This window comes from Homo sapiens, chromosome 10 (genome assembly GCF_000001405.40).
Source record: "Homo sapiens chromosome 10, GRCh38.p14 Primary Assembly".
Taxonomy (NCBI): domain Eukaryota; kingdom Metazoa; phylum Chordata; class Mammalia; order Primates; family Hominidae; genus Homo; species Homo sapiens.
Window position 1 is genome coordinate 67,881,263 of NC_000010.11, and position 20,653 is coordinate 67,901,915.

Consider the following 20,653-nt stretch of genomic DNA (forward strand, 5'->3'; position numbering starts at 1 on the left):
ACACCTGGCTAATTTATTTTTTAGTAGAGTCAGTAGTAGTTTGTCCATGTTGGCCAGGCTGGTCTTGAACTCCCGACTTCAGGTGATCTGCCCCCCCTCAGCCTCCCAAAGTGCTGGGATTACAGGAGTGAGCCACCGCGCCTGGCTGGAATTTATTTTCGTATATTGTGTGAAGTAGGGATTTCCATTTGTGTTTTTCAGTTTTGACAATAACATTTTATTAGTACAAAAGAGTTGATACTAACTCCCTTACTAATTGTAGTCACATGAGACTGATATCAGAGCTATTAGGCCAATTTATTTTTTTATTTATTCATTTTTTATTTATTCTTATTTTTATTTTTTTTGCGATGGAGTCTCACTCTGTCGCCCAGGCCAGAGTGCAGTGGCGCGATCCCGGCTCACTGCAAGCTCCGCCTCCTGGGTTCACGCCATTCTCCTGCCTCAACCTCCCGAGTAGCTGGGACTACAGGCGCCCGCCACCACACCCGGCTAATTTTTTGTATTTTTAGTAGACACGGGGTTTCACCGTGTTAGCCAGGATGGTCTTGATCTCCTGACCTCGTGATCCACCCGCCTCGACCTCCCAAAGTGCTGGGATTACAGGCGTCAGCCACCGTGCTTGGCAGGCCAATTTATTAACTTAGGAGAATAGAACTACTAAGTCAGCCAGAATATTAATGTTCTTTTTTTTTTTTTTTTTTTTTTGAGACAGAGTTTCACTCTTGTTGCCCAGGCTGGAGTGCAATGGCACTGTCTCAGGTCACTGCAACCTCCACCTCCTGAGTTCAAGCGATTCTCCCGTCTCAGCCTCCCGAGTAGCTGGGATTACAGGCGCATGCCACCACTCTGGGCTAATTTTTGTATTTTTAGTGGAGACGGGGTTACATCATACTGGTCAGGCTGGTCTCGAACTCCTGACATCAGGTGATCCGCCCGCCTTGGCCTCCCAAAGTGCTGGGATTTATAGGCGTGAGCCACAGCGCCTAGCCTTAATGTTAGTTCTTAACCAGTGGTAGACCAGAAGTCTAATTGGGATTTTTTGTTTTTGTGTTTGTTGTAATACAATTTCTGTTTCTCATTTATCCTACCTGAAAAGCATACTGCATCTCTGACCTCTCAGCATACTAACAATAATATTGATCACATAGCATTTCTTGTAGTTCATAAACTTCACGTGTCAATAATATACTATAAATATAAATGAATTAATGAACAACAGGATGCTCATAAGCTTACAGACATCTTTTTCTCAAAAAAGCTGGGAATTTTGTTTCTGTTTTATTGGGATACTGACTCTCAACATTTCATATATTGCATTCCACCAACGTAGCTGAGAGTCAATTTATGAAATATTTTGTAGTGTAAGACAGAAAGTGGGGAGGACCAAGTATGTCAACCACTAGGAGTGTGGTGCCTAGTCAGGAATTGGGAGGAGTGTAGCAAGAAAGGAAGGACAACAGGATTTGGTCATTGATTGGTCAGATGGATTTCAGAGGGATTGGTATGAAGGAACGCTTCAAAGATTTTTTTTTTAATTTAAGTTCCAGGATACAGGTGCAGAATGTGTAGGTTTGTTACATACTTATAGGTGAGCCATGGTGGTTTGCTGCACCAATCAACCCCTCATCTAGGTTTTATTTATATTTTTTTTTGAGACGGAGTTTCGCTCTTGCTGCCCAGGCTGGTGTGCAATGGTGCGATCTCGGCTCACCGCAACCTCTGCCTGCTGGGTTCAAGCGATTCTCCTGCCTCAGCCTTCTGAGTAGCTGGGATTACAGGCATGTGCCACCACGCCCGGCTAATTTTGTATTTTTAGTAGAGACGGGGTTTCTCCATGTTGGTCAGGCTGGTCTCGAACTTCCGACTTCAGGTGATCTGTCCGCCTCGGCCTCCCAAAGTGCTGGGATTACAGGCAGCAGCCACCGCGCCCAGCCAGGTTTTAAGTCCCGCATGCATTAGCTATTTGTCCTAATGCTCTCCCTCCCCTTGACCCCCACGCAACCAAAGATGGTTTTAAGGCTTCTAGGACTGGAGATGATTACTTTCAGAAATGAATAGTGGTGACCAGATGAAATAAGACTTTTGGATGTAGATAGGACCTTAGCGATATATTTCCAGCTTTTTATTTTTTATTTTAAGGATGAAGAAACAGCTTTAAGTTGGTTGCCTAAAGTCACGCAGGTAATTGATGCAGTATGGCCAGAACCCATACTAGGCTTAAGGGACAGTGTACCATAAACTCGTAGAGGTCCTTTAAACAGATAGAAACGCTGTGCTCCAGGCAGATGCCATAACAAACACTGGCTCTAGATCTACCATGGGTTATATGGGTCCTTAGTTAAGATTAGATATGGAGTCACAGTGTGCCAGAATTTCAGGGAGAGAGGAAAGTGGAAGGGCTTTCCACTAAGCCTTTTGAACTACTAGGTACCCCTCGTTTTACATCTGGTTATCTCATTTAAATCTATGACGTTTTAAAATACTTATTACCATTTAAGACATGAGAAAAATTAAGTTTAGAAACGGCTAGATAGCTCACGCTAGAAAGGAAGGACTCCAAATTTTAACCAAGGGCAGATGTGCATGGAGGCCAAGTCATTTCCTTCCCATGCTCTCATACTGACCCAACAAACCCATTCTGCACGTGAGAAAACTGAGGCCCGGAGGAGGGAATTCACACACGTTTGAAGCCAAGCTGGGGCCAGAAAGTAGATCGGCTGATCTCCAAACCTCCACGTCAAAGGTCTTCCCAGGAGGACATATGCCTTCAAGGATTTTACAATGTATACCACCCTACAAGTGATGGGAGAGAGGGGAAAAAAGCAACCGACTAAGGAGAAAAGCAAGGAGCAGAAAAAGGAGCAAAAGAGGAGCTGTCAGAACGGTGTGAGGAGAGTGGGAAAGGAGCCGCCTCCTTTTGCCTCTCTTCCTACTTATTAACAAAACAGAACGACTATCCAACGTATTTCAGGGAGCTAAGTCTTAGCCAGCTTCAGCTGTGTTTTAACCCTTAGCTAAATATAGACAAGGCTAAGGCAGGCCAGGTGTACACTTCAGGAAGACGTGGAAATTCCCAGGGCGGACCAAAACTTGAGCTGTTCCGGCGGTAGTGATTTGAGGTCAGTTTGAAAGAGAAGTTGAGAAAGCGGCCGAGGGGCGAATTTGGCTGCACTACACGCTCGCCACAAAGAGGAAGGGCCGCCGGCCGCCGGGGCCGAGTGCGCTTCCAGCCCAGGCGGAGCGGTAGACGCAACAGCCTCCGCCCGCCACGTGACCCGTAGTGTTGTGGTCTGGCCCGCGTGGGTGGCGGGAGCGCCGAGAGGGCGGGGGCGGCGATGGGGCGGGTCACGTGATGGGGTTTAAATCTCCCGCAGCCGGAGCCGCGGGGGCGCCAGTGCCGCGCGTCGAGCGGGAGCAGAGGAGGCGAGGGAGGAGGGCCAGAGAGGCAGTTGGAAGATGGCGGACGAGGCGGCCCTCGCCCTTCAGCCCGGCGGCTCCCCCTCGGCGGCGGGGGCCGACAGGGAGGCCGCGTCGTCCCCCGCCGGGGAGCCGCTCCGCAAGAGGCCGCGGAGAGATGGTCCCGGCCTCGAGCGGAGCCCGGGCGAGCCCGGTGGGGCGGCCCCAGAGCGTGAGGTGCCGGCGGCGGCCAGGGGCTGCCCGGGTGCGGCGGCGGCGGCGCTGTGGCGGGAGGCGGAGGCAGAGGCGGCGGCGGCAGGCGGGGAGCAAGAGGCCCAGGCGACTGCGGCGGCTGGGGAAGGAGACAATGGGCCGGGCCTGCAGGGCCCATCTCGGGAGCCACCGCTGGCCGACAACTTGTACGACGAAGACGACGACGACGAGGGCGAGGAGGAGGAAGAGGCGGCGGCGGCGGCGATTGGGTACCGAGGTGCGCAGGGTGCGGGCGGCCGGAACTGCGCATCTCCTCCTCCCTCTCCCCGGGCTCCTACTGGCCTGAGGTTGAGGGCGGCTGGGGGCTCGGGGCAGGCTCCGCGGCGTTCCCCTCCCCACCCCGGCCCTCCGTTCAGCCGCGCTCCTCCGGGGCTGCGGTTCCTACTGCGCGAGCTGCCAGTGGATTCGCTCTTTTCCTCCGTCCGTGGCCCGCCTGGGCGGCCTTGTTCTTTCCGCAGCAGCCAGGTCGGGAGACTCTCGCAGTCGCTTTAAAATAAGTTTCTCTCCCCCTCTTACTCTTTTAGCATATTGCTTTTGTTAGAGCTTTTTTTTTCTTTTTCTTTATTTTTTATTTTCATTGCTTTTCTCCTCTACCCCCCAGCACACTTAAGTCTGCAACTTTTTGGCTGTCCCGTTGGTCTGCGTTTTCAATTGCTTTTTGCAAACTTGACACCTGTGCAGTTTGCTTTTTTTGGTCTATATTTTTATGACTGAAATTACAATTTTTGAAAGAGGAAAGCTGTTTCTATAGTCACAGCTTGCAAAATTTAAAGAACGTGGCTGTTCCTGAAGACATTACCATTCTGTAATGCAGTTAGGAGTGGGTATGGGAGAGAGAGTACTTTTAGAGCTGTTCATATTACTTTTATTCTAATCTTGCTCTTGTGCGGTAATGGTGTTTGGGCTAAACATGCTTTTTTTGTATGTATGTAGTATTGAGACACAAACTTAACACTTCTAGCATAATGAAGCAGATATGTTGCAGTTGTCATGTTCTTGAAGGTTTCTTTTTTTTTTTTTTTTTTTTTTTGAGACGGAGTCTCGCTCTGTCGCTAGGCTGGAGTGCAGTGGCGCGATCTCGGCTCAGTGCAACCTCCGCCTCCCGCGTTCAACCGATTCTCCTTCAGCCTGCCGAGTAGCTGGGACTACAGACACCCGCCACCACGCCCAGCTAATTTTTGTGTTTTTAGCAGAGACGGGGTTTCACCATGTTGGCCAGGATGGTCTTGATTTCTTGACTTCGTGATCCGTCCGCCTCGGCCGCCCAAAGTGCTGGGATTACAGGCGTGAGCCACCGCGCCCGGTCAGGTTTCTTATTTTTGATCTGAGGAGTTTCTATCCTTGATAGGTGTTCATCTTTATCAATATTTGGGTCAGGCCGGGCGCGGTGGCTCTTTCGTGTAATCCTAGCACTTTGGGAGGCCAAAGCGGGAGGATCTCTTGAGCCTAGGAGTTTCAGGCCAGCCTGGGCAACATAGCGAGACCTCCTCTCTACTAAAAGTAAAAAAAGCGGGACGTGGTGTCGCACACCTTTAGTCCCAGGTACTAGAGTTCGAGGTTGCAGTGAGCTGTGATCCTGCCACTGCACTCCAGGGTGGGCAACAGAGTGAGACCCCGTCTCAAAAAAAAAAAAAAAAAAAAGTAATATGTGTTTTTAGGGACTGATTTAGTAAAGAGACCCTGATTTCAAGCAACACAGTTGAGTACTAATTTATTATTTACCTAATAATAATTGTGTTATTAATACTGTTTATTTAATAGAGGAAACAATGCAGAGGTACTTGTAGTATTGTGTAAGTTTAACGTGCGCATTGCCAAGGTTATATTTGAATGACGTTTTTATGTAAATGTCCATTTATTACACGTTTCACGAACGCTATTGTTTGTGATTGTATGATACATTCTAGCTAGATTATTATCTTTTCTTTTTTTTTTTCCTTTTCTTTTTTTTTAAAAGGTGGAGTTTCGCTCTTGTTACCCAAGCTGGAGTGCAATGGCGTGATCTCGGCTCACCGCAACCTCCGCTTCCCGGGTTCAAGCCATTCTCGTGCCTCAGCCTCCTGAGTAGTTGGGATTACAGGCATGCGCCACCATGCCCGGCTAATTTTTGTATTATTAGTAGAGACGAGATTTCTCCATGTTGGTCAGGCTGGTCTCGAATTCTCAACCTCAGGTGATCCGCCTGCCTCGGCCTCCCAAAGCTCTGGAATTAGAGGCGTGAGCCACCGCTCCCGGCTATCTTTTCTGTTTTTTAAGTAGACTTAATTTATTTTTAGATTTTGGCTGAAACTGAGTGAGCAGAATTCCTAAAGATGAAGAAACTGTTCCAATGAACAGTGCAAGCTGACCCCATAGGCATGCTTTACACACGCCGTGTAAATGTTAAATGCTGTACTCGATGAAAATGATTGCTCTATAACCGTTCATACATTTTAGGTGCATGTTGTTTTGATAGCCTTGACTGACTTGGTTTCTTTTGCAGATAACCTTCTGTTCGGTGATGAAATTATCACTAATGGTTTTCATTCCTGTGAAAGTGATGAGGAGGATAGAGCCTCACATGCAAGCTCTAGTGACTGGACTCCAAGGCCACGGATAGGTATGGCTCAGAGCTGTTAATTTTAGAGAGTAAATGTACGGTTTTTGGTTTGTTTGTTTTGAGACAGAGTTTCGCTCTTGTTGCGGAGGCTGGAGTGCAATGGCGCGATCTCGGCTCACCGTACCCTCCGCCTTCCAGGTTCAAGCGATTCTCCTGCCTCAGCCTCCCCAGCAGCTGGGATTACATGCATATGCCACTACGCCCGGCTAATTTTGAATTTTTAGTAGAGACGGGGTTTCTCCATGTTGGTCAGGCTGGTCTTGAACTCCCGACCTCAGGTGATCCGTCCGCCTGGGCCTCCCAAAGTGCTGGGATTACAGGCATGTGCCACCTTGCCCCACCTCACTTGTCCCCTTTTTGTGTAGTGTTCTTCATCCGGTTAGAATATCTTCCTCCCTCACTTCATATTCCTTGTTTTTTCACTTTATTGTACACTTACCACTTCTTGAAAAGCTCTGTATCTTACTTTTTAAATTGTGTTGTTTCCTGGTCTAGAATATAAGTTCTACGGGAGCAGGAATTTTTGACTGACTTGTATACTCCTGTCTTTTCAGTGCCTAAAAAAGTGCCTGGCACATAGTTTGTGCTCAATAAATATTTAATAAATATGTGAATGAAATGGGAAAGTATTTCGATGTAGAAAGCATTATCAGTTTTTTATACCAAAGGTATAACCATCTTGAAAGTGGATCTTTTTGTGTTCTCACTCTTACAAATGGCTTGATTATTTAAACATAGTGAAGATCAGTTTCTCTTTGGTGTCTGTAATTTATTTATTTATTTATTTTTGTTTTCTCAAGCCTAGGGAGCTGGTTTGAGCAATCTCAGGGTAAAAGAAAATGATTAGTTCTCAGAACATCAACATTGTATGTATTATCTTGGAAGATGGGTTAAGATCAAATTGAAAAATTACCGGAAAAAAATTAAGATGGCAGTTATGTATAGATTTTCATTTCTTTTTCCTGTGTGGTTTTAATGATAAGTAGTACAGGCTTTTAGGACTGGTACGATTTTTCTATGTCGTAGAACCCTTTTGTAAATACTTTTGGTATTATGGTGTGTGTTTCTAGATATTAACCATAAGAACTTAATTCTGGTTGTTAATTAATTAGACTCTTGAAATATATACTTACAGCTGAAGGGGGTCTTCCCAACTCTTCATTAGATCTTCCTAATCTCATTGGGATATAGCATTAATTCTGAGTGTACCGAGAATGAAATACCATTAAATTGCATTTTCTTACTTTGCAAAAAACCCTCACAGAATGCTAACTCATTACTTCAGAAAATAAATGAGATTTTGAATTACTTGATAAGTTGACTTTAAGCCTTTTCCCCCTTATTGTAGGTCCATATACTTTTGTTCAGCAACATCTTATGATTGGCACAGATCCTCGAACAATTCTTAAAGATTTATTGCCGGAAACAATACCTCCACCTGAGTTGGATGATATGACACTGTGGCAGATTGTTATTAATATCCTTTCAGAACCACCAAAAAGGAAAAAAAGAAAAGATATTAATACAATTGAAGATGCTGTGAAATTACTGCAAGAGTGCAAAAAAATTATAGTTCTAACTGGAGCTGGGGTATGTAAGACTAGTACATGGGGAGGTCGTATATGTATTTTCTTATGCCTTTTCCAAGTAGGAAACATTTTTCTGGTTTAGAAGGATTTATCCTTACATGATAATGGATGTTTGGGAACTGCCAAAAACTGAGTGCAGCAGCAGTTGCTAAATTAGTTCAGATTTTTAAAACCTCTCCAGCCTTAAAAAAATATTTGCTTCTGCTTATTTATAGCACAGTGGGTAAATGGAGTTAAGGCAAGATTTCTACCTACATTATATCATAGCTCCTAAAGGAGATGCAGGGAATTGAAACTCTGCTTTTGTTAAGGGATGTCAGTCTGATGGAGAAATTGGGTATTTGTTAGATCTTTATGAGAAACTGGAAACCTAATTGGTATTCACAAGTGAAAAGCTTAGTGTTGGGAAGAGTAACAGATTCCTACCTTCCCTCCATATTAATTAAGATGATGTGATTGTGGCGACTTGACATTTTCTATTTGATCTACCTTAGGGTTGCAGCTAATTAGTTACCTAAGACTATTGCATAGTGTGTGTTTTATACAGAGTATATTACATGTTAGCAACCAGAGCAACTGCTGTAGTAAAATTTTGTCCTGTTTTCTGCCATTTCGAGTTGCGAAAGGGTGTTACATAATCTTAGATGATCATCAGGAGTATGTTTTGCTCACAGATAACGATGTAGACAAGTTTGTTTAACTTAAATTGACCTTGACTCCAGGTCAAATTGGAGTCAACTCTGGTAAGATGATGAAACAATAACTTCTGAAATCTCTATTTGAAATGTCAGGATTTTTTTGTACGATTAGTGGGCACGTCTCAAAGAAATGAAGAATTGAAATATTATACACCTTTTTTTTTTTTCTTTTTTTTGGATACAGGGTCTTGCTGTGTTGCCCTGGCTGGAGTGCAGTGGTGTCATCATGGCTCACTGCAGTCTCAGCCTCTCCTGGCCTGAGTCTTGCTCTGTTGCCTAGGCTGGAGTGCAGTGGCAGGATCTTGGCTCACTGCAACCTCTGCCTCCTGGGTTCAAGCAATTCTCTTGCCTCAGCCTCCTGAGTAGCTGGGATTACAGGCGCACACCACCACACCTGGCTAATTTTTGTATTTTTAGTAGAGATGGGGTTTCACCATATTGGCCAGGCTGGTCTGAAACTCCTGACCTTGTGATCCGCCTGCCTTGGCCTCCCAAAGTGCCAGGATTACAGGCGTGATCCACCGTGCCTGGCTATACATTGTTTTTTTTAATGAAAATAGAGAATTGTTGTAGTATTGAGGTAATAGAATCCTAACTAAAGGAGCAATTTCTTTGGAATTACTTCTCTGTAATAGAAATTCTTGGCTGGTGGAGTGGCTCATGCATGTAATTCCAGCACTTTGGGAGGCTAAAGTGGGAGGATCACTTGAGCCCTGGAGTTTGAGATCACCCTGAGCAACATAGACCCTGACTCTACAAAAAATTAGCCTGGTGTGCTGGTGCGTACTTGTAGTCCCAGCTGCTAAGGAGGTTGAGGTGGGAGGATTGCTTGAGCCGGAAAGGTTAAGGCCATAATGAGCCATGATGGCACCACTGCACTCCAGCCTGGGCGTCAGAGCGAAACTGTCTAAAAAGAAAAAAAACAAAAAGCCGGGCGCGGTGGCTCACACCTGTAATCCCAGCACTTTGGGAGGCTGAGGCCTGCGGATCACGAGGTTAGGAGATCGAGACCATCTTGGCTAACATGGTGACACCCCGTCTCTACTAAAAATACAAAAAATCAGCCGGTCGCGGTGGCAGGCACCTGCATTCCCAGCTAATCAGTAGGCTAAGGCAGGAGAATGGTGTGAACCCAGGAGGCGGAGCTTACAGTGAGCCGAGATCGCACCACTGCACTCCAGACTGGGCGACAGTGTGAGACTCTGTCTCAAAAAAAAAAAAAACAAAAAAAAAAAGAAAAAATTCTTCCCTACTTAAAATAATTTGTTGAAATGGTTTATTTTCTTCTCAAGTTGCATTTGCTTTAATTTGTTGGCTAAATGCTTAAAAGGCTTAAAATTGGCCTGACTTAAAAATTCCTTATCTGTGTTAAAGATGGAATATGAGGTATGTTTAATTTTACTCAGTTATTTGGGAGTTTTATTTCTGAAATAAGGGTAGGGTTGTATTTTTATTTCTTAAAAGAAGTTTCAGACTAAAATTTTCTTTCTCAACTCTTACCTAATTATATGGTAAGAGAGCTAGCTAGTTCCTATAAAGGTAGAAGATTTAATTTTACAAATTATGCCATGCACATTTTAGGTGTCTGTTTCATGTGGAATACCTGACTTCAGGTCAAGGGATGGTATTTATGCTCGCCTTGCTGTAGACTTCCCAGATCTTCCAGATCCTCAAGCGATGTTTGATATTGAATATTTCAGAAAAGATCCAAGACCATTCTTCAAGTTTGCAAAGGTACTATGAACTCTTCTGGTTGTTTCTTTGGCCTTCTCTCATGAAAAAGTATTTTGTTCACATACAGCCACCTTAAGGTTATCGTTCATTGTTTAGTAAAGTGAATGCTGCTACTGTGGCGGAGTAAGATCACTCATTATGGCTAGAATTCCTTTATTCCTAGAGGAGGACTATTATCTACTTCATTTTAGGAGTGAGCTTATTTTCAAAGAGATAGTTCATATTTTTAAAATTTGCACTGCAGCGATGGTCGTTATTCTGCCTGGGCTTTTTTAAGAGGTTTGCACACCATATAAAAGTAACATAACTTGTGATTTTTAATATTTTATTAGAGATTGTAAAGGTTATAACATCACTTTGGTGTTTCGTAGTCAAGTTTTAACATAAGGATGTGCCTGAAAAATCATTTGTAATTAGAGAATGGGAAGATTCTTGGGTTGCATTTTTGTCAGCAAATTGCAGAGGATCATTATTCTGCTCTAGAGTTGCACCGTCCAGTTCAGAAGCCACTAGCCACATGTGGCTGTTGAGTACTTGAAATGTATTGATATGTGCAATAAGTGTAGAAGACATATTGGATTTTAGAGATCCAGTATGGAAAATACAAAGTATTTCATTAGTTTTATTCATCAAATATTAAACAAATATTGGTTTTTATATGGAAAAAATACTTAAAATTAATTTTGAATTCTTTTGAAATACTTTTGATATTGGGTTAAATAAAATGTATTTTGGGCTGTGCGTGTTGCCTCATGCCTGTAATTTCAGCACTTTGGGAGGCCAAGGTGGGAGGATCAGTTGAGCCCAGGAGTTTGAGACCAGCCTGAGCAACATAATGAGACTCCATCTCTACAAAATAAATAATAAAATTTGCTGAGCATGGTGGTGTGCACCTGTAGACCCATCCACTCAGTAGTCTGAGGTGGGAAGATCCCTTGAGCTCAGGAGCTCAAGACTGAGTGAACCATGATCTGCCATTGCACTCCACCCTGGGCAACAGAGCAAGAGTGTTTCCAAAATATATGTATGTTTTTTGAAGTTTACTTTTTTTTTTTTTCTTTTTTTGAGAAGTAGTCTTCCTTTGTCCCCCAGGCTGGAGTGCAATGGCATGATCTTGGCTCATAGCAACCTCTGCCTCCCAGGTTCAAGTGATTCTCCTGCCTCAGCATCCTGAGTAGCTGGGATTACAGGCGCCCGCTACCATGCCCAGCTAATTTCTGTATTTTTAGTAGAGACAGGGTTTCACCAGGTTGGCCAGGCTGGTGTTGAACTCCTGACTTCAGGTGATCCACCCTCCTCGGCCTCCCAAGGCTCTGGGATTATAGGCGTGAGCCACCGCGCCTGGCCAGTTTTCACCTTAATGTGGTTACTAAACAATTTAAAGTTATATGTATGTCTCACATTATGTACCTATTGTACAGCTCTGCTTTAGCATAGAAAGTTTAATAATGCATTACACCATTCTCAAGAGATTGAGTCATTAGAAAACTGTTTTCTTTCCTGTATTTCAGTCTTTTGGAAAGAAATTACAAAATTTGTTATTGTTAAACTTGGAGGTATATATATTTGAAAGAGTCATTTTATTTTATTTTACTTTAAGTGCCGGGATACATGTGCAGAATGCGCAGATTTGTTAACATAGGTATACATGTGCCATGGTGGTTTGCTGCATCTATCAACCTGTCATCTAGGTTGTAAGCCCCACATTCATTAGGTATTTGTCCTAATGCTTTTCCACCCCTTGCCCCCCACCTCCTGACAGGCCTCTGTGTGTGGTGTTCCCCACCCTGTGTCCATGTGTTCTTATTGTTCAACTCTCACTTATGAGTGAGGACATGTGGTGTTTGGTTTTCTGTTCTTGTGTTAGTTTGCTGAGGATGATGGCTTCCAGCGAAGGAGTCTTGTATTAGTGGCTTTTTCCCCACCTAATCGTTAGAAGTTGTGAATAGGGACTTCTTTAATGAATCCAGAAGTTAATGAACCTAGCTTTTTTTTTTTTTTTTTTGGAGACGGAGTCTGGCTCTGTTTCCCAGGCTGGAGTGTAGTGGTGTGATCTCTGCTCACCATACAACCTCCACTTCCCGAGTTCAAGAGATTCTCCTGCCTCAGCCTTCCGAGTTGTTGGGACTACAGGCGCGTGCTGCCATGCCTGGCTAATTTTTGTATTTTTGGTAGAGACGGGGATTCACTATGTTGGCCAGGTTGGTCTTGAACTCCTGACCTTGTGGTCCGCCCATCTCAGCCTCCCAAAGTGCTGGGATTACAGGTGCGAGGCACCGCGCCCCGCGCCCTGCCGATGAACCTAAATTTTAACTAAACAGTGGCCTTATCTACTTTCAGACCATGTGGTATATTTACATGACTACAGGAGAAGCTTTGCTAATTCAGAATAAATTATGTTACTTAAATTGGCGACTGTCTTTAAAAAAAAAGTGATTTTTTGGATGCAGTAGCTCGTGCCTATAATCCCAGTGCTTTGGGAAGCTGAGATAGGAAGATCTCTTGAACTCCGGAGTTTGAGACCAGCCTGCGCAACACAGTGAGACCCTAATCACTACACCCCTCCACCCCATGTAACTTTTGTTTTATCCAGGTTGTGGTATATTAAATGGGCATTAGTGTAAAGTGGGAAAATTATATTAATTCTTGAATATGATTACTAAACTGAATTTGAAAAGTTTTCAGGCTATCAAGAGAATTTTTAACTTAAAACTTATATAATTTGAACTTTTTACTTCATATATCCGTAATGATGATGGTCATCTATATCTAGCTTTTAGAGCAGACAACTGGTTCATACCTGGATTAAATAAATAATGTAAAGTTATTTTTTGTTAATTATGGATTAGTGAAGATTTACTGTTTTAACCTACTCCTGCTAGTGGCACTACTGCATGGTTTTGAAGACCAGTGAAGTATGACTTAAAGGTTTCTTGAATTGGAGCTAGGACACTGGCATTTATAAAATCTCCACGTAGCGCAGACATTGACACTATCAGAAGACCAGCAAGTAACTAGAAGTTACTTTGATCTTAAATCAACTACAAAAAACTTGACTCACTAGTTATGGAGAATACATTTTTTATTGTTAAACTGAAAAAAAATTCAGTCACTTATAAGGTGTAGCCTCTTCTAATCCTGTTTATATAAATTTATTTATTATTATTATTTTTTGAGATGGAGTCTTGCTCTGTTGCCAGGCTGTAGTGCATTGGCGCGATCTCGGCTCACTGCATCCTCCACCTCCCGGGTTCAAGCAATTCTCTTGCCTCAGCCTCCCAAGTAGCTGGGACTACAGGCACGTGCCATCACGATCAGCACTTTTAGTAGAGACGGGGTTTCACCATGTTGGCAAGGACGTGTCTCGTCGTGACCTCGTGATCCGCCCGTTTCAGCCTCCCAAAGTGTTGGGATTACAGGTGTGAGCCACAATGTCCAGCTGATAAATTTAATTTTGCTTTTCTGAGTTTTCATTTATGGTAATGGTTAAATCAGCTAGGCTTTACAGTTGTTACTCACATATAATTCTTTGTCCATCCTTTAATTCTCACATTGGGAACTGACTAAAAAAAGAAAGCTTCCAGTCTGGGCACAGTGGCTCACACCTGTAATCCCAGCACTTTGGGAGGCCGAGGTGGGTGGATCACCTGAGGTCAGGAGTTCAAGACCAGCCTGGCCAACACAGCAATACCCCGTCTCTAATAAAAAATACAAAAATCAGCCAGGCTTGGGTGGCGGGCGCCTGTCGTCCCAGCTACGCAGGAGGCTGAGACGGGGAGAATTGCTTGAAGCCAGGAGGTGGAGGTTGCAGTGAGCCGAAAGCGCTTAAGGAGAAATAAGTAAGGACAAAGAGTGCAGGATAGTATCCTGACACGGAGGATGGGGAGGGTATGTAAATATTGTCGATATTTTACTGAATTTCTAAATATTACAAGAATAGAATATTCATAGGATAACCTAAGCTTTTCTGTGAGTCAGTGTACTAGGCAGAAAGTTCACTAAAGTGGTTTATGATTTTTGCTACTTATGAGAAAACATTAAAAATGAAGCCATGAAAAGGAAATATTGGTGAAATTTAGATACTTCAGAAGGAAAGAGAGACTTTCTTTTTTTTTTGGAAAGAATTTCTATACCATCTATTATATCATTGATTGTATGTGATTATTGAGAATTAACTTGTTTTTTTTTTTTTTGTTTTTTTTTTTTGAGACAGTTTTGCTCTTGTCACCCAGGCTGGAGTGCCGTGGTGAGATCTCGGCTCACTACAACCTTCACCTCCCGAGTTCAAGCAATTCTGCTGCCTCAGTCTACTGAGTAGCTGGGATTACAGGTGCCCATCACCACGCCCAGCTAATTTTTCTAATTTTAGTAGAGACGGGATTTCACCATGTTGGTCAGGCTGGTCTCGAACTCCTGACCTCAGGTGATCCGCCCGCCTAGGCCAAAGTGCTGGGATTACAGGCGTGAGTCTCCCACGCCCAGCCCTTAAATTTCATTTAGACTGGAAATTTCAAGTAATGGAGAGGTGTGTTAAGGAAGTTATTGCTCTGTTAGAGCAGTTTCTTAAATTTGGCACTATTGACATTTTGGGCTGGATTTTTCTTTTTGTTTCTGAGATAGTTTCACTCTGTCGAGCCATCACAGCTCGTTGCAGCCTTGAACTCCTGGGCTCCTTGAACAGGAGGCTCCTGCCTGAGCCTCCTGAGTAGCTGAGACCATAGGCACGTACCATATACCTAGCTAAATGTGTTTTTGACTTTCTTTTTTCTTTGTAGAGTCAAGTTCTCACTATGTTGTCCAGGCTGGTCTTGAAATCCTGGGTTCCAGCAATTCTCCTGCTTAGCCTTACAGAGTGTCGGGATTGTAGGCATAGGCCACTGCACCCGGCCTTGGGCTGATATTTATTTGCTATGGGGAACTTTCCTGTGCGTTGTAGGATGTTTGGCAATGTCCCTGGCCGGCCAGGTGCAGCGGCTCACACCTGTAATCCCAGCACTTTGGGAGGCTGAGGTGGGCGGATCACTTGAGGCTGGGAGTTCAGAAGAGACCAGCCAACATGGTGAAACCCTGTCTCTACTAAAAATACAAAAATTAGCCGGGTGTGGTGACACACATGAGAATCACTTGAACTCAGGAGGCTGAGTTTGCCGTGAGCTGAGATCGCGCTGCTGTACTCCAGCCTGGGTGACAAAGCAAGAATCTGTCTCAAAAAAAAAAAAAAAAAAAAAAAAAATTCGCTGGTCTCCACCTACGTTTGTATCCCCACCCCAAGTCCTGACAATAAAAAATGTCTTCAAAATGTTCCTTGCAAAATTGCTCATTGAGGCTAACTGAGGTGGCTCACAACTTTAATCCCAGCCCTTTGGAAGGCTGAGGCTGGCAGATCACTTAAGCCCAGGTGACTGGCCCTGGCCAACTTGGCAAAACCCTGTCTCTACTAAGAATACAAAAAATAGCCAGACGTGGTGGTGCACACCTGTAATTCCAGCTACTCGGGAGGCTGAGGCAGCAGAATCACTTGAACCTGGGAGGCGGAGGTTGCAGTGAGCCGAGATCGCACCACTCTACTCCAGCCTGATTGACAGAGTGAGACTCCATCTCAAAAAAAAAAGAAATTACTCTCTGAGCACCAGTGTGTTACAGTGTGCTTAGCTGTGGTACCACTTTGGATTCTTTCACACAAGAACAGTTAAGGCCAGTTTTAAAGCTGTGGGGCCATTTCTGAACTGTATTTTGTTTTTTTTTTTTTGGAGATGAAGTTTCACTCTTGTTGCTCAGGCTGGAGTGCGATGGTGTGATCTCGGCTCACTTGCAACCTCCGCCTCCCAGGTTCAAGCAATCTCCTGCCTTAGCCTCTTGAGTAGACTTGATTATGGGATCTTGGCTCACTGCAACCTCTGCTTCCCAGGTTCAAACAGTTCTGCCTTAGCCTGCTGAGTAGCTGGGATTACAGGTGCCCGCCACCATGCTTGGCTAATTTTGTATTTTTAGTAGAGACGGGGTTTCACCATATTGGCCAGGCTGGTCTCGAACTCTTGACCTTGTGATTCACCCACCTCTGCCTCCCAAAGTGCTGGTATTACAGGCATGAGCCACTGTGCCTAGCCAATTTTTTGAATTTTTAGTAGAGATGGGGTTTCATCATGTTGGCCACGCTGGTCTCGAACTCCTGACCTCAGGTGATCCACCCACCTTGGCCTCCTAAAGTTCTGGGATTACAGGCGTGAGCCACTTCGCCCAGCCTGCACTGTGTTCTTATCCTGCATAATGACTTAAATTGATAATAAGTTGTGGTCATGGTTCTCAGAAACCTAAAATAATTCACTGATGTTAATAAAAATGAGTGGTTGTATTTAGAGTCAAGGCGAAACTGAATTAGGATGTATAAAATAACTTTTTTTTTTTTTTTTTTTTTTTAAGTAGGACTGTTGTTCGGCTGGGCGTGGTGGCTCACGCCTGTAATCCCAGCACTTTGGGAGGCCACAGCGGGCGGTCAAAAGTTTGAGACCAGCCTGACCAACATGGTGAAACCCTGTCTCTACTAAAAATACAAAAATTAGATGGATGTGGTGGCGCATGCTGTAATCCCAGCTACTCAGGAGGCTGAAGCAGGAGAATCACTTGAACCCAGGAGGCGGAGGTTGCAGTGAGCTGAGATGGCACCACTGCACTCCAGCCTGGGCGAGAGAGTGAGACTCTGTCTCAAAAAAAAAAAAAAAGAAAAGAAAAAAAAAGAAAAGGGACTATACTATGTTCGAAGAGTGTAGTTTCTGTCCCATACTGAATTCACTGTTCTTTCCCTAGTGATTAAAATACAAGAAAAGGTAGAGGGAGAAACACGAACTGAATTTTATGAACTTAATTCCAAGAATGTATTTTTACATTTGTTCAAAAAATTATTACTTTATTGATAATATGCAAACATACCAGATTATGTATTAATAGTTAAAAATTTGAGTTCTAGAACAAGCTTATTAAAAATCAACGTCAGTAAAAAGAAAATAGATGGTAGTCACAGTGCCATTCATCTGAAAATAATGTTTTAATACTCAACATGTATATGGATTATATATCTATACGTTTATAGTATTGTAGCTGGATTTATGTTACATTTTTAGCATAAAATTTGGCTTTTGCTGGGCCCAGTGGCTTGCGACTGTAGTCCCAGCAACTCAGGAGGGTAAGGTGGGAGGATTGCTTGAACCAAAGAGTTTGAGGCTGCAGTGAGCTGTGACCTCACCTCTGCACACCAGCCTGAGTGACAGAGCAAGACCCATCCCTGAAAAGAAAAAACTTGGCTGTTTTACTTTGCTTTCAATTTGTAGTATATTCTACTTAATATAATAAACTTACTTTCTGTGAGGTGCTTGAATACTTTTTAATGGTTATTTATGAAGTGGTGAACTGTAATTCTGTATTTGTACATTTGGATGTACAAATAGTGTTGCTACAGTTGTCCTTTTTTGGTATGTCTCCAGTGTTCTTAGGATAAATTCCTGAAAGTGAATTTCAGTTTTGAATTTCAGAGAAACATGTCAAAGTTCTTCTTTAAGCCTTTAAGTCTCCTGATATGTTTTGTCGTATTGCAGCTTGGAAAGGTTGAAATAAAATCCTCTATTAGGGCTGGGTGCAGTGGCTCATGCCTGTAATCCGAGCACTTTGGGATTTAGCTGATTTGGCTGATTTATCATGCCACTGCCACCTGTATCCACCCAAAATCCACAAAAACCCCAGGATACATTCTTAGCATTAAAAAAAAAGTTATATAAATATATATAATTATATATATATTTGAGACAGGGCCTGTCTCTGATACCCAGACGTGTGCAGTATCTTTCAAAAATCATATATCTATATATAGTTTGCCCCTTCCTTCAGTCTTTGCTGCCCCTAATATCTGTCCTTAATGGTTACCATGGTGAAACTCTTGGAAATCATTCAGGGGGAAAAAAAATTTGTGTTGGGATAGGGGAGGGATGTCAGCATAAGTTTTTAATACTTGATAAATGATTGCCAACAGAATCAAAAACACCTTGTTTTCTATCTTTTTTCACCATATAATATTCTTGAGAATAATTTCGTAACAGCACTTAACAGATATACCTTATTTTTCAAAGAAGGCTGTGTAGCATTCTATTTTAAAGTTGTTTCACAGTATATGAGTCTCCTATTGATAGGTATCTGCATTTTTGTCTTTTTGATCTAGGGTTGTTTTTAAGGCAGTTTAAAAACTATAGTAAGTAAAAGAGGCCAGGTGCGGTGGCTCACACCTGTAAACCCAGCACTTTGGGAGGCCGAGGCGGGTGGATCACTTGAGGTAGGAGTTTGAGACCAGCCTGGCAAACATGGTGAAACCCTTCTCTACTAAAAATACAAAAAATTAGCCGGCCGTGGTGGCAAGCGCCTGTAGTCCCAGCTGTTCGGAAGGCTGAGGGAGGAGAATCGCTTGAACTCGGGAGGCGGAGATTGCAGTGAGCCAATAATATGCTGCTGTACTCCAGCCTGGGCAACAGAGCGAGACTCTATCTCAAAAATAAATACAATTTTAAATAAAATTATAAAAATAAAGCAGCACCCAGCTTTATTTTTTATTTATTTATTTATTTTTTGAGACAGAGTCGCATTCTGTCGCTCAAGTTGGAGTGCAGTGGTGCCATCTTGGCTCACTGCAACCTCTGCCTCCCGGGTTCAAGTGATTCTCCCGCTTCAGCCTCCCAGGTAGCTGAGATTACAGGTGTGTGCCACCACGCCCAGCTAATTTGTATTTTTAGTAGAGATGGGGGTTTCACCATGTTTGCCAGGCTGGTCTTGAACTCCTAACCTCAGGTGATCCGCCCACCTTGGCCTCCCAAAGTGCTGGGTTTATAGGTGTGAGCCGCCGCGCTTGGCTCAACATCTTATTGTTTGAGACGGGGTCTCCTTCTGTTATCCAAGCTGGAGTGTAGTAGTGTGATCTTACAGCTCACTGCAGCCTCCAACTCTTGGGCTCAAATGATTCTCCTGTCTCAGCCTCCCAAGTAGCTAGTACTACAGGTGTGCACCACCATGCCCTGCTGTTTCTTTGTTTTTTTTATATGGACAGTCTTGCTATGTTGCCCAGGCTGGTCTCAAACTCCTGAGCTCGAGTGATTCTGCTGCCTCAGCTACTCAAAGTGCTGGGATTGTAGGCGTTAACTATCAGGTTAGGCCTGTTCTGTTTTTATTAGCGTGGATGACTGCTGGTTACTACTGGCCGTTTGTATATCCTTGAATTACCTCTTTGTTTTTAGCCATTTTTCTCCATTTGGGTGCTTTTTCACAGTGACTTCTGGGAATATTATGTTCTTTTCTTTTGATTTACCTTTCAAATTTTATTTTTATGGATATATAATAGTTGTACGTGTACATTATATATTCTTGAAGAGTTAGGCTTATTGGGATTCCAGCCTTTAGTAGTCCCATGAAGGTGAGCAAACTGAAATGTACTTACTAGTCTTAGTCATTTGGTTCGTAATATGTAATAGAAATGGTGCTTATCCTAAAAGAAAAATAGAAAACTTGAGGGTGAAGGATCAGAAATTGAAGACAGTAAATACTGCATAGAGGTTTAAATGCTAGGGTTTTTAGGTTTTCTTTTTTTTTTGAGATAGTCTTGCTCTGACACCCAGGCTGGACTGCAACCTCTGTTCCCTGGCCTCAAGCGATCCTCCCACCTTAGCCTCCTGACTAGCTGTGACCACAGATGTGCACCACCATGCCCGGCTATTTTTTTTTGTATTTTTGGTAGAGATGGGGTCTCGCCATGTTGCCCAGTCCAGTGCTGGATTTTCATATCAAAACAGGGCTCTGCTACTTACTTGCTCTTGTGACCAAAATGGCAAGTTAGGTTTGTTTTGTATTTGTTTTCATCTGCATCGGGGTATATGTTCACAGCTGGATCAGCAAACTTTCTGTAGTAAGGTAGGGCCTGGTAGTAAATATGTAGTATGCTTTGCAGACTGCATAGGGTCTCTGTCATATGTTCTTTGTTTTCTTTACAGCCTTGAACAAATTAAAAAACCCAGTCTTCAGCCTTGTCTGTAGCATAATAAAGAGGAAATTAAAAGTGCTTATGTTATACGTGGTACATACTAAAATTTATTAAGTGGCGACTGGCAGTTTAACTAATTGACATTCTCTTGTGTTAGGTTAATACAGGGGTTGGCGTACTATGGCCTCAGTCCAAATGTGGCCCACTCCATGTTTTTGTATAGGCTGTGAGCTAAGCATTAAGCATTAATTTATTACTTAAATCAACAAATAAAGTTTATGTGGTGTACAACATGATGTTTTGATGTGTGTACATTATGGAATGGCTAACTCAAGCTAATATTCATTACTTC

The 20,653-nt window shown here is 43.3% G+C and overlaps 1 protein-coding gene across 3 annotated transcripts in view, besides 18 other annotated features; it reads left to right on the forward strand.

Moving 5' to 3' along the window:
• Nucleotides 705-728: a protein binding site, noted in NCBI's record as "nCaRE SIRT1-A". NCBI's record gives its function as "promotes gene expression" and the evidence as "EXISTENCE:protein binding evidence [ECO:0000024][PMID:24356447]".
• Nucleotides 705-3,769: a biological region, named in NCBI's record as "SIRT1 promoter region". NCBI's record gives its function as "regulatory_interactions: SIRT1".
• Nucleotides 1,074-3,459: a promoter, noted in NCBI's record as "-2341 promoter". NCBI's record gives the evidence for it as "EXISTENCE:reporter gene assay evidence [ECO:0000049][PMID:21555002]".
• Nucleotides 1,652-1,675: a protein binding site, noted in NCBI's record as "nCaRE SIRT1-B". NCBI's record gives the evidence for it as "EXISTENCE:protein binding evidence [ECO:0000024][PMID:24356447]".
• Nucleotides 1,652-1,675: a protein binding site, noted in NCBI's record as "nCaRE SIRT1-B". NCBI's record gives its function as "promotes gene expression" and the evidence as "EXISTENCE:protein binding evidence [ECO:0000024][PMID:24356447]".
• Nucleotides 1,652-1,675: a sequence secondary structure, noted in NCBI's record as "nCaRE SIRT1-B cruciform or double stem-loop structure supported by T7 endonuclease I cleavage footprinting". NCBI's record gives the evidence for it as "EXISTENCE:in vivo cleavage assay evidence [ECO:0001075][PMID:24356447]".
• Nucleotides 2,307-2,326: a protein binding site, noted in NCBI's record as "p53ubs; binding affected by C/T polymorphism (rs3758391); T allele has increased binding; binding antagonized by association of Hic1". NCBI's record gives its function as "mediates stimulation of expression by nutrient stress" and the evidence as "EXISTENCE:protein binding evidence [ECO:0000024][PMID:20693263]".
• Nucleotides 2,430-3,461: a promoter, noted in NCBI's record as "-977 to +55 promoter; activity is affected by polymorphism at rs35706870". NCBI's record gives the evidence for it as "EXISTENCE:reporter gene assay evidence [ECO:0000049][PMID:24875419]".
• Nucleotides 2,910-2,969: an enhancer, noted in NCBI's record as "active region_3458". NCBI's record gives its function as "activates an Ori minimal core promoter by ATAC-STARR-seq in GM12878 lymphoblastoid cells {active_cell/tissue: GM12878}" and the evidence as "EXISTENCE:reporter gene assay evidence [ECO:0000049][PMID:35858748]".
• Nucleotides 2,990-3,149: an enhancer, noted in NCBI's record as "active region_3459". NCBI's record gives its function as "activates an Ori minimal core promoter by ATAC-STARR-seq in GM12878 lymphoblastoid cells {active_cell/tissue: GM12878}" and the evidence as "EXISTENCE:reporter gene assay evidence [ECO:0000049][PMID:35858748]".
• Nucleotides 3,230-3,769: a silencer, noted in NCBI's record as "silent region_2414". NCBI's record gives its function as "represses an Ori minimal core promoter by ATAC-STARR-seq in GM12878 lymphoblastoid cells {active_cell/tissue: GM12878}" and the evidence as "EXISTENCE:reporter gene assay evidence [ECO:0000049][PMID:35858748]".
• Nucleotides 3,249-3,460: a promoter, noted in NCBI's record as "p158 promoter fragment". NCBI's record gives the evidence for it as "EXISTENCE:reporter gene assay evidence [ECO:0000049][PMID:19267881]".
• Nucleotides 3,270-3,290: a protein binding site, noted in NCBI's record as "Sirt1p53RE". NCBI's record gives its function as "promotes gene expression" and the evidence as "EXISTENCE:protein binding evidence [ECO:0000024][PMID:19267881]".
• Nucleotides 3,270-3,454: a silencer, noted in NCBI's record as "fragment chr10:69644290-69644474 (GRCh37/hg19 assembly coordinates)". NCBI's record gives its function as "represses an EF-1alpha promoter that drives an FKBP-Casp9 reporter gene in an ReSE screen in HepG2 liver carcinoma cells {active_cell/tissue: HepG2}" and the evidence as "EXISTENCE:reporter gene assay evidence [ECO:0000049][PMID:32094911]".
• Nucleotides 3,287-3,462: a promoter, noted in NCBI's record as "-115 to +61". NCBI's record gives the evidence for it as "EXISTENCE:reporter gene assay evidence [ECO:0000049][PMID:20160399]".
• Nucleotides 3,333-3,360: a protein binding site. NCBI's record gives its function as "promotes gene expression" and the evidence as "EXISTENCE:protein binding evidence [ECO:0000024][PMID:20160399]".
• SIRT1 (sirtuin 1) overlaps nt 3,394-20,653 on the forward strand; it is a 33,735-nt gene continuing 16,475 nt past the window's right edge. Inside the window, exons 1-4 of one of the 3 annotated variants that reach the window (NM_012238.5) lie at nt 3,394-3,889; nt 6,155-6,271; nt 7,620-7,861; nt 10,140-10,292. In NM_012238.5, the coding sequence (NP_036370.2) occupies nt 3,460-3,889; nt 6,155-6,271; nt 7,620-7,861; nt 10,140-10,292 (942 nt within the window). In that variant the 5' untranslated portion in view covers nt 3,394-3,459. Of the gene's footprint in view, nt 3,890-3,918; nt 4,138-6,154; nt 6,272-7,619; nt 7,862-10,139; nt 10,293-20,653 lie in introns of those variants that run through there. The other 2 variants (NM_001314049.2, NM_001142498.2) reach the window with 2 other exon arrangements.
• Nucleotides 3,889-4,183: a silencer, noted in NCBI's record as "tiled region #7890; HepG2 Repressive non-DNase unmatched - State 1:Tss, and K562 Repressive non-DNase unmatched - State 1:Tss". NCBI's record gives its function as "represses a minimal TATA promoter and a strong SV40 promoter by Sharpr-MPRA in HepG2 and K562 cells {active_cell/tissue: HepG2 | K562}" and the evidence as "EXISTENCE:reporter gene assay evidence [ECO:0000049][PMID:27701403]".
• Nucleotides 3,980-4,099: a silencer, noted in NCBI's record as "silent region_2415". NCBI's record gives its function as "represses an Ori minimal core promoter by ATAC-STARR-seq in GM12878 lymphoblastoid cells {active_cell/tissue: GM12878}" and the evidence as "EXISTENCE:reporter gene assay evidence [ECO:0000049][PMID:35858748]".